The 12187-nt window shown below is 40.4% G+C and overlaps 1 protein-coding gene across 10 annotated transcripts in view, besides 1 other annotated feature; it reads left to right on the forward strand.

Annotated features, from left to right (window-relative positions):
* PAK3 (p21 (RAC1) activated kinase 3) overlaps positions 1-12187 on the forward strand; it is a 282965-nt gene that overhangs the window by 14897 nt on the left and 255881 nt on the right. The window lies entirely within an intron of this gene.
* Positions 5275-5875: an enhancer, noted in NCBI's record as "OCT4-H3K27ac-H3K4me1 hESC enhancer chrX:110207796-110208396 (GRCh37/hg19 assembly coordinates)". NCBI's record gives its function as "activates a minimal SCP1, AML or CMV promoter by ChIP-STARR-seq in primed H9 embryonic stem cells {active_cell/tissue: H9 hESC(primed)}" and the evidence as "EXISTENCE:reporter gene assay evidence [ECO:0000049][PMID:30033119]".

Consider the following 12187-nt stretch of genomic DNA (forward strand, 5'->3'; position numbering starts at 1 on the left):
TCCCCATAATGCCTCTCCATTTCTGCAATCCACTGCCACTACCCCAAATGTAAGTTCCTTTCCTCTCCTAGGGATTTTCATCCTCATACATGTTTCTGCTTTCTCTTTACACTCTATCCTCTTTCTCGGGCTTTCCGTCTGTATCCTTTGAGATCTATGTTGCATATCAACAAACTCCTCTGGTCCTTCACCCTCGTGTACATCACAGTGCTGGCTACATGTTAGCATCACCTGGGGAGTTTTTTAACGGGTACTGAAGCCTGGACCCCATCCCTAGAGAATCTGATTCATTTGGCCTGAAGAGGGACCTGGGTTTCCGTACTTTTTAGAGCTACTCCAGGTGATACTAGTGTGCTGTCAGGTTTTCACACCACTGGTACCTGCTTGCCTTAATTGACACATCAGTTCTCTTGCAGCTTATCAAGTGTAAGCCGCTCATTCTCCTGGGTTGCACATTCTACAGAGCTGAGGGGTGATAGCCACACTCTCCTATTTCCCCAGAACTATTTTTAGGCCTTTTAAGTTCATCCTGAAAAAGAAGCGAAAAAAGCCAACAGATAACAAAATTAAATGCAAACTAAATTCATTGTTTTTTTTAAAAAATAAATTGATTTTAAAATAAAAGAAAATAAAATGACATCAATGCTCCCTGTAAGTGTCATGGCATCTATACTGCTCACTCTTTTCTTTTGTCAACTCTTGTCTTCCTCATGTACCCACACTTTTCCTAAATGTTTAATACTTGGTTTATCAGTTTCCTCTCCAACCTAAGTCCTGCTTTTCTCCTGGAGGACTTTAGTGCCCTTGTTGGCAATCTATCCAACATTCTGGACTTATGGTTCCTTCATCACTTTGACAAATATTTATGGAATGCCTATGTACCAGGCACTGTTGTAAGTAAGTACTAGGTATGGAACAGTGAACATATGGACAAAATCCCTGCCCTCCAGAAGCTCATTATCAGGAAGGTGCCAGTGAGGGGGATAATCAACCAATCAGTAGGCAAATAAATGTTAATAAGCATTGTGGAAAAATTTAAGCAGAGGATGAGGGAATGCTGGGAGAGAGGGATCAATTTTAAATATAAGGGAATAAATTTCAACAAGAATAGCCTTCACTGAGCTACCCTTGCAAATATCTTGAGGGAGAGCATTATAAACATAGAGAACAGCAAGTGCAAATGTCCTGGGACAGGAGTGTACCTGGCTGTGAGGAGGCAAGTCTAGCTTAAGCTGAGTTAGAAGGTGAGGTCAAGGAGGTAACATGGAGATGGGTCTTATCAGGCCTTACAGGAAATTGTAAGGACACTGGCTCTTACTTTGAATGAGACAGTGAACCACTGGAGGGGAGGGTTCTGGGTAGGGAAAGGAATAGGGTGTGACTTTTATTTGAAGTTTCCTTGATATCAGTTATCTCCACTCACTTTCATCTCTACTGCACTTTGATAACCTGTCCCCATTGCCAGCTCCTGGATTTTGTCCCCAAACTGTTCTACCTCTGAAATCTTAAACTCTAGTATTTTAATTGAGAGAGCTTATATATCCAGCTCCCTCATGCTAATTATACTTTCTCTTTTATTTCATCTAAATCTCTCATCTGTTGATTCTACAGTGGTCTTCGTGGATGTTAGTCCCTCCTGGCTTCCCTCTTTTCCCTCTCCCTCCTAAATTCCATAGTGCATCTTTTCCAGCAATTCTCATGTGTCAATATATTTTTTTTCCTATTTAACCCTATATTATAGTGGTTTAGCAAAACCCAAACCATAGATCATTCTAGTGGATCTTGTTCCTGGCTGCACATGAGAATGACCTGGGATGCTTAGAAACATACTGATACCTGATTTCACTGGTTTAGGATGGGGTCTGGATATAGATATCTTAATGATCCCCAAGTGATTGTAATGAGCAACCAGATTGAGAACCTGTGGACTAACCCAGCATCTGCCTCTTCATTTTCTATATCTTGACATCTGAGCAGAAAACCAAATCTCAACTGCTCCCTGTAAATTGCTTGGAAATCTTACAAAGTGACGTTAGTAAGCTACATGTCACTTTTCTGTTATGTTAAACCAACCTGCACCACCCTCCTCTAGGCTTCAACCTCACTTCTGTCTCTGTCTCTCCTAGAAGATGACTTCTTTTCCCATTTCATAAAGAAAATAGCAGCTTCTAGCACCCCAAGCTCCTGCCCTTCTACCTCAAACCTAGATGTACCTGTGTCCACTTTTATCCTGTTGTCTCCTCTGGCACTTCCAAAACTTTCCTCATTCTTGTAGATCTTCAACATCTTGCCACTGGGTCTTTTCAAAATATCTACAATCTCTTTTGTCTTTAAAAACCTTCTCTTCACCTCTAGATTCTCACTTGCTAGCTACTGCCCTATGTCTCTTCTTCCCTTCACAGCTAAGCTTCTTGAAAAAAGGAGTCTTTAACCAATCCCATTCTCTCACCTTCCATTCACTTTTTTAGTCCCCTGGAATTTGGTTTCTGGTTTCATGAAACACATTTTGCTGTGGACACCAGTGATTTCCCAAGTGACAAATCTAATGAATAGTTCTGTCTTTTTCTTTACTTGTTGTTTCTGAGTCATTAATTTTATACTGCCTGTCTTCCTGAAAATCTGTTCTTTCATGGATTCCATGAGAGTATTTTCTTGATTTACCTCCTACTTCTTTGGCAGCTTCTTGAGTTCTTCTTCCTTGTCCTAGACCTGAAATATGAGTTTGGAAAAATATGAGGAATCTCTTCTTACTAGTTCACATTTCTTTCTCAGCAATTTTATGCATGCCTTTGGCTTCAAGTATCACCTACATGTTCATGACTCCCAGATATATTACCCCCACTATGGATTTCTCTCCTGATCCCTAGATCTGTTTATCAGACTGCCTATGGACTGCCTCTGCCTAGAAATTCTGCAGGAACCTCAAAGCAGTGTGTCCCAAACTTAACTTGGCCTTTTAGAAATACTCTGACTCCACCAAACCAGAAAGCGGAGTCATCCAAGATTCCTCCTTCATCTCCCTCACCTTCCACAATTACCAATCCTCCCAAGGCTATCTCTAAAATCTTTGTTATCTATTTGCTTCTTGCATCTTGACTGCCACATCTCTAGATTCTCATCATCTCTCCTCTGGACCACTACAATATCTTCCTAACTGGATTTCTTGGCATTATAACAGCCTCCTTCAAGCTGTCTTGCAAAGTTGAATAATCTTTCCACCATGCAAACCTTACTTGTTATTTCTCTGCTCCTATGCAATTAATCATTAATGACTCCCAGGGACTTATAGCAGTGGTTTTCAAGTTATACTTCATGCATCCCTGTGTGTGTTCTGGAGTGAAGTTGGGGGCAGCAGGCCGAGCAGGCCACATAACAGGGCCAAGCCGCCAAGCCTCTAATTTAACTAGGACAGCTGTGCTTTATATCTGTTTATCATCCTGGCCTCTGAAGATATTTCCCATTAGAGTGAAAATTCTACAGCCAAAAGAAATATTTGAATGCTATTGATGTTGACCTTCATAACTAATAAGCTTAGTATTTATCAGGAACAGAAGGGTATCTCTGACATCAAGAATGTGAAAGCTTCATAGGCCTTGTGTCCAGGAACTTTATCCCCCCTAGATGTATTCGTTTGGTTGCAAGGCCCAGAATGAGGCCTCTCACAGCTTGATGTGACCTTTTGTGTGTTGTAAGGCCCTTTCTCTGTCTTTCAGGGCTGCTGGTGCCTGTTATACACATGAAATACAGAACTCTGCCTGAAGAACAACCATGGCCTTGATGCAGGCACTATCCCTGGTCAGCATCAGATATGAAATTGCACATAGTTCTATAATTTGCATTTTCTACTTAATATATGTCTAATATACTCCTGAGTGATTGTAGAGCCTATTTAAAAGCAGCAGAATATTCCACTGAATTAAAATTTTTTACATGTTTACTTCATGAAATGAAATTCTGTTGCCTTTATCAGAACTGGGAGAACCTTAAGACATCCTGTCCAGTCCTCATGCTGTGGTCTCCATGGGAACTAATTCCCAGTGAGCTCTTTGTTCTCAGGGCAGCTTAGTTGCCCTCATTTACTCTTCCAAACTGTGATTAAGCTCAGGCTGTAGGCTTTTCATCTGCATCCAGGAAAAGGGAAAGTGCACACTCTTACCTATAAAAAGGGAAATTTGCCATTGATAAATCTGGTGGTTCCCAGGCCCATGCTATAAAATTGCCTCAATTTTTCCAGTTCAGAGAATGTTCATGGTGAGTGGAGCCTATGGCCATGGCCAGGCTTGACTGACCTAAGCCTCTAGTGTCATCTCTCCCTAAACAAATATTCTTATTAAAACTGCTGTTAAGTAAAAGCACTGAATTGAAAATTAGGTTTTCATCAGGTTCTAGTGCTGATTGTGCCACTCAACTAACTGTATGACCTTGGGCAAGTCACTGAACAATTCTCATTTGAACACAGAAAGGACGATGTTGAACCAAGTGATCTCTAGGATTATTTTCAGTTCTGATACCTTGAGTCTTTGATACTAGGAGATAATTGCTATGTAAATGCTTTCAAAAGTTCAAAGTGCTATATCAGCGTGAGGTGTTATGATTAATTAAACTTACTGCTTTAAGTTCCCACAGAGCATAAGGAGAAGTAAAGGAGCCTTCCTGATACACAACTGGGCAAGTCAACATCCGAATCATCTGAAGTTAGCATGGTAGTGTTATTTACTGGGAAGAAAAATAATAATAAGAGTTATTATTCATTGAAACATGACCACATGCCAAACAGCATGCTAGTCACTGTCACATACATTTTTATTATTCATCCCCACAATGAATCCATTGTTACTATTATTTTTGCCCTTTTACAAATGAGAAAACTGAGTTCAAGGAGGTTAAGTGACTTGATTGCCATCATACCCCTAGCAATCGATGAAGCTAAGGTTTGAACCACAATTTTTCTGATTCAAAAGCTCAAGCATTTTCAAGTGTGAGAAAATGTGAGATCCAAGGCCATGTTTTCTATCCCAGTACATCTAAAACTCTAATTCGTGTATGAATCACCAGGAGTTCTTGCTAAATTCAAATTGCTGACTCCATAGGTCTGGGGTGGAGCCTGAGCTTCTGCATTTCTAACAAGCTTCCAGTTGCTGCTTGATGTAGCAGGTCCATGGACCACACTTTGAGTAGCAAGAGACTAGAGACCTTTATATGGAAATCATCTGGCCTATATTTGCCCCTGGAGCAGGGCTGCACAGACTGCACTGCACAACTCCAGGGAGCACTGTTCACATTGCAGTCTCTGTGCAGTGTGCCTCTTGAGTTGTGTACTGTGCTCCCCTTGTCCTAGAATGAGAACATTGTGAGTAGTGAGTAGATCTACAGAATCTTCCTCTACCTGTGCCACGTCTGAAGAACAGGAAGTGTTCTTTCCCTCACAAATGAAAAATGGATCAATGCTGTTGAGAAAAGCAACACAAATCCAGTCTGCCCACAATGAGGGTGGCCCATTTGGTGTTCTAAGGCAAGATGGGGAGGAGGGGGAGAAGGAAGCTAGCTGGCAAGCTGGCTGGCTGGCTGACTGACTGACTGGCTGGCTTGCTGGCTGGCTGGCTGGCTGGTTGGCGTGGCAGGCTCCATTCTTATGCTAACAAAGCTCTGATTCCAGGCAGCAGCTGCTGCTTGTGTGGGTGCTTGGGCCATTCATAGCAGCTTGCTTTACCAGTGCCAGACCCCCAGAACAGGTGCGGCCGCACTTGTTATTTTGCTCAGTCCTGACCGTCCAGACAGGGAGCTGATTATCACTATGAATCTGGGATTGCTGCTGATATTCCAGCTTCTCCTGAACAAAGGGGCCAGCCTTGAGACAGCTGTCTTTTCTGGCCACAGTGAGGCTGACTGCCCTGAAGGCCATGTGGGCCTTGGGGAGGTGGGTTTGCATTGCAAATGGGACGGAGAAAATCAGACCCAGGTAAGCAGTTCTTCTGAAACAGTTCAAAGTGTCTGAGAGTCAGAAAGTTTGGGGGCTTAAGCCCACAGTCCCCAAGCAGGAGCTCCAAACCTATTGAGATCTCTCCAAGCTCCTCTTCTCTGGTCAGGTGCTGTTGCCCTTAGCCTTCCCTTGGCCTAAGGTCTGCTGCAGTGGCCAAGGGCAAGAGAAGGGCAGCTGGCTGACATTGTCCCCTTCCTCCTTTGCTCAGCCTCAGGACCAGGCTTTGGGAACCAGGAAATTAGCTTCTATTCACAAAAAGGATGGAGAACTATAGCACTGTGGTTAAGAAGACCAGCTCCAGGGTGAGGCAGCCTGATACAGATCTTAACTTGATTACTCACTAGCAGCAAGCATGAGCTTAGGCAATCATTTGATTTATTCAAGCTTCAGTTTTGTCACTTCTCATAGAAGAATAACAATAGTACTTCCCTCAGGGACTATTATGAGGATTTATTATTAATAATAATGAAAGCTAACACTGACAGAGCACCTACTGTGGACTAGGTACTCTTCTAAGTACTTTACACACTGTAATTCACTAAATCCTCAAAATGATCCTGTGAGAGGGACTTGTATTATCCCCATTTTATAGATGTGGAAGCTGAGGATCAAAGGGGTTAAGTAATTCGCCCAACGTCACAAATCTGGTGAGCAGCAGAGCTGAGAATTGAACCTAGCAGTTTGCTCCAGAGGCCACGTCGTATGCACTATGCTTTACTGCACAAACTTAAAGTGGAGTGAGCACAGTGCCTGGCACACATAAATCCTTGCTAAATGAGGGTGGTTATGATTCACTAAACTGATTTAGCCTCACTGTTTCAATGAATAGCTAAATATGTGTCACCTAAAAAAGAAATGTATATTTTTTTCAATAAGAATATGGGTTTCCACAGCTGGAGTCTTCATAATGGAAAGAGTAATAGTCTTTCTTGGCCCCAGGGCTCCAGTTCCATTCATTCATACACAAAGGAGGGTAGGACAATTCATTTTCCCACTTGGCTTAGCAGACCATTTTTGATTCCCAGAGCAGCTTTTCATCTCTGCCCACCAAACCACCTCCTCTTAATTCTACCGCCTCTACAGGCCCACTGCTTCCCCATAACCTTTAGCCCTGTGAATTTGATTCACTTATTATGTGAAAGAAAGGGAGGGACTCAAAAAAGGAGGGAGGGAGGGTAGGAGAGAAAGAAAGGAGAGAGAGTGAGAGATCAAGAACAGAGAGAGAGAGAGAGATCAGGGGTGGGAAGGAGATACTTCTAAAAAGAAAACAAGGAAGAAAAAATAGTCAAGACAGTCCTATTCAAATCTAATCTTAAATAAATTTTGACTGCAGTTTTAGAAGAATGTTTATTGAAAAGGGAATATGTCCATAATATACAATTATGTGAGAAAAGCAGGCTGCAAAATAGTGTTACACCATTTTGAAGTGTGTATGTACAAATATAAAAAAAAAAGACTGGAAGGAAGTATTCCAAAATGTTAACAGTAATCATCTGTAGGTAGTCAAGTTGTAGATTATTTTTCTTCTTTAAATTTTCTGTAATTTTTCCAGAATTCTAATGAATATAAATGCTTTTTGTAATTTTAACAAGATCTAAGGAAAAGGAAAAAGCAGGGATAGGATATGTCGGTACTGCCTGCATGAGGGATGGATCCTGCCCCCAAGAATGCCCTGTACTAGACAGAAATGATTGTTGTCCTATGTGTATTGCAAAATTGCATTTTCTGTGTGCAAGGGAATGCTAGATTACTCAACAAGACCACAGAGAGCTTTGAGGCACATGCTCAGCTCCCAGTCAGCTCTGAGAGTGTCTGATCTTCCTGCCCAGACAAACCCTGACCTGTGGTGTGTCCACTTAGAATACCATGTGTCCCTGACTACAGTTTGGGAACCCAGTGGTAGAGTTAACATTCTACAGACTTGCCATAGGGGCAAAAACCAGAACAGGGCCAAGGGGACAAAAGCAAACAGATCAGGGACTACGAGTGCAGAAGGTCAGAGCTGACAACAGGAAACAGAAGGATAGTATCTTCAGTGAGCTGGAGGGGGTTAGTGCTGAGGTGTCACGTGCAAGATTCTTGTTTTGGGTATGGCTGTGTTGGAGACGGGTAAAAAGAGTGTAAGTAGGCACAGGGTTAGGGACAAAGGCATAACTAGGGGCCACAAACTCAAATGCCTTTGGGGACCAGACTGGTAGCTTAATGATTGCAGGGGCCTGGGTGAGGACTGTGCTGAGCTGAAAGAGAACGATTCCCATGGAAGAGAGCAGTGGGAAGCCTGGGAATTTGGGCCCACATTTACATGTCTTATGAATTTTTAAGAGAAGATAGATATCCAGGTATTTATGTAAAATCTCTTAACAATTAATTTTTTTTTCAATGTCAAGACACTACGGGCCAAGCAAAATATATCTGTGAGCCACACATTTAAAAACATTTCACTTTTAAATAATTATAGATTCACAGGAAGTTGCCAAGGTGTTACAAAGGGGTCTCTGTGTACCTTTCACCCAGTTTTCCCAATGGTTACATCTACATAACCATCATGTAATATCAAACCAGGACAATGACATTGGCACAATGTGTGTGTCTAGTTCCATGTCAGTTCATCTCATGTGTGGGTTTGTGTGTCCAACAACACAGTCAAGATACAGAACTGTTCTACCATTGCATAGATCTCCCTCGTCACATACTAGTCACATCCATTTTCCTCCCTCCAACATTCCTTACCCTTGGCAACCACTAATCTATTCTTCATCTCTATAGTTTTGTCATTTCAAGAGTATGACACAAGTGAAACAATATATTATGTGACTTTTTGAGACTAGCTATTTTTACTCAGCATAATGCCCTGGAGATCCACCCAGGTTGTTGCATATACTAGTAGTTCATTCCTTTTTATTGCTGCATAGCATTTCATGGTATGGATATACCAGAGTTTGTCTAACCATTCACCAATTGCAGGACATTTTTGCTGCTTCCAGTTTTGGGCTTTACAAATACAACTGCCATGAACAATCATGTACAGGTCTTTGTGTGGACAAAAGCTTTCATCTCTAGAATAAGTGTCCAGGAGTCTGATTGCTGGGTCATAAGGTAAGTGCATATTTAGTTTTATAAGAAACTGGTGAACTGTTTTCCAGAGTGGCTATACCATTTTACATTTTCAGGAACAATGTATCAGTGATCCAATTTCTCTACATCTTTGCCAACATTTGGTACTGTCACAAATTTTTTACTTCAACCAATCTGACAAGTGTTAGTGATATCTTGTGGTTTTAATTTGCATTTTCTTAATGGCTAATGATATTAAACATCTCTTCATGTGCTTATTTGCCATATATATAAACTCCTCAGTGAAATGCTGGTTCATGTCTTTTGTTCATTTTCTAATTAAATTTTGTGGTTTTTGTCATTGAGTTTGAGTTTTTAAAAATATATTCCAGATAGCAGTCCTTTGTTAGATGCATGATTTGCAAATATATATATTTTTTCAGTCTTCAGCTTTTCTTTTCATTCTGTTAACAGGGTCTTTCATGGAGTAAAGTTTTTAAATTTTTATGATGTCTGATTTATTCATTTTTCTTTCATGGATTATACTTTTCGTGTCATGCCTAAGAACTCCTTACCAGCCCTGGGTTTCTAAGATTTTTCCCTTATGTTTTCTTCTAAAAGTTTATAGTTTTATGCTTTACATGTAAATCTATGATCTATGTTGAGTTAATTTTGTGTGAGGTATGAGAGCCCGGGTTTAAGTGATTCTCGTGCCTCAGCCTCCTGAGTAGCTGGGATTAAAGGCATGTGCTACCAGACCTGCCTAATTTTTTTTTTTTTTTTTTTTTTTTTGTATTTTTAGTAGAGACAGGGTTTCACAATGTTGGCCAGGCTGGTCTCAAACTCCCGACCTCAGGTGATCTGCCCACATTGAGGTATGAGATTTAGGTCAAGGTTCATTATTTTGCCTAGGGATGTTCAATTGCTACAGCATTACTTGTCAAAAAGGCAATTCTTCCACTGACTTTTTTTTTTTAATAGAGTCTCACTCTGTCATCCAGGCTGGAGTGCAATGGCGCGATCTCAGCTCACTGCAACTTCTACCGCCCGGGTTTAAGCGATTCTTGTGCTTCAGCCCCCTGAGTAGCTGGGATTACAGGCGTGTGCTACCAGACGTGGCTAATTTTTTTTTTTTTTTTTTTTTTGGATTTTTAGTAGAGATAGGGTTTCACCATGTTGGCCAGGCTGGTCTCAAACTTCCGACCTCAGGTGATCTGCCCACATTGGCCTCCCAAAGTGCTGGGATTACAGGCATGAACCACTGCACCCAGCCCTTCCACTGAATTCTTTTTGCACCTTTGTCAAAAATCAGGTGGGCATATTTGTGTGAGTCTATTTCTGAGTTGTCTATTGTGTTCCATTGACCTGTGTGTCTATCCTTCCACCAATACAATGCTCTCTTGATTACTGTAGTTTTGTGGTAAACCTTAATATTGGGTAAAACAATTACTCTTGCTTGATTCTTATTTTTAGAAATTGTTTTAGCTATGCTAGGTCTTTCCAAATATATTACAGAATTATATTGTCTATAGCCAAAAATCTTGCTGGGATTTCTATAGGAATAGTATGAAATGTGTATGTCAATTTTGGAAGAATTGACACTTTTACTATATTGAGTTTTCTAATCCATGGGATCTATCCATTTATCTAGGTCTTTGATTTCTTTCATCATTGTCTTTACATTTCAACATACAAGTCCTGTATAGATTTTGTTACATTTACACCTAAATAACTCATTTCTTGAGTGATTATAAGTGCTCTTGTATTTTTAATTTTGGTTTTCACATGTTCATTACTAGCATATAGAAATACATGTATCTAATGACTAGTGATGATGAGCTTTTTTTCAGATGTTTGTTGGCCACATAAATATCTTCCTTTGAGAAGTGTCTGTTAATATCCTTCACCCACGTTTTGATGGGGTTGTTTGTTTTTTTCTTGTAAATTTGTTTAAGTTCCTTGTAGATTCTAGATATTAGACTTTTGTCATATGGATAGATTACAAAAATTTTCTCCCATTCTGTAGGTTAGGTTGCCTGTTCATCTGATGTTAGTTTCTTTGGCTGAACAGAAGCTCTTTAGTGTAGCCATAAAAAAGAATGAGTTCATGTCCTTTGCAGGGACCTGGAGGAAACTGGAAACCATCATCCTCAGCAAACTAACAGAGAAACAGAAAACCAAACACCGCATGTTCTCACTCATAAGTGGGAGTTGAACAATAAGAACACATGGACATCGGGAGGGGAACATCACACACCAGGGCCTGCTGTGGGTGGGGGGAAAGAGGAGGGAGAGCATTAGGAAAAATACCTAATGCATGTGGGGCTTAAAACCTAGATGACAGTTTGAAAGGTGCAGCAAACCACCATGGCACATGTATACTTATGTAAAAAACCTGTACGTTCTGCAAATGTATCCCAGAACTTAAAGTAAAATAAAATAAGTACAATTGGTTTTTGTATGATGATATTGTATCCTGCAAACCAAAACTTCATTGCTAGATCAAGGCTCATTTTTATAAATTCGTTGACATATTATTCTGTGTAGATGATCATGCCATCTGTAAATAGAGACAATTTTATTCTTTCCTTTTGGATGTATAAGACTTTTATTCCCTTTCTTGTCTTATTGCACTGGGTAGTACTACCTCGAATAGCAGTGATGAGAGTAGAAATCAGTGCTTCATTCCCAATCTTAGAGAAAAACATTCAGTCTTTCACCATTGTGATGTTAGGTTTAGCTTTAGTTTTTAAAAATCAGCTTGAGATAAGATTCACATGCTGTACAATTCACCCATTTAAAGTACAAGATTAAAGACTTTGAGTATATTCACAGAATTTTGCATTCATCACCAGAATCAATTTTATTCAGTGCTCTCAAAATAAACCACATACCCCTTAGCTGTCACCACCCAATCCACCATCTTCCCCGGCCATAAACAACCACTAGTCTCCAGTTGGTCTCTATAGATTTTTCTATTCAGGACATTTCATATAAATGCAGTAATACAATATGTGGCCTTTTGTGACTGGCTTCTTTCACTTAGCATAATGTTTTCAAGGTTCATCCATGTTGAAGCATGTATTAGTATTTCAGTTATTTTTATTGCTGAATAATATTGCATTGTATGCACATACCATAATTTGTTTATCC

This window comes from Homo sapiens, chromosome X (genome assembly GCF_000001405.40).
Source record: "Homo sapiens chromosome X, GRCh38.p14 Primary Assembly".
Lineage (NCBI taxonomy): Eukaryota > Metazoa > Chordata > Mammalia > Primates > Hominidae > Homo > Homo sapiens.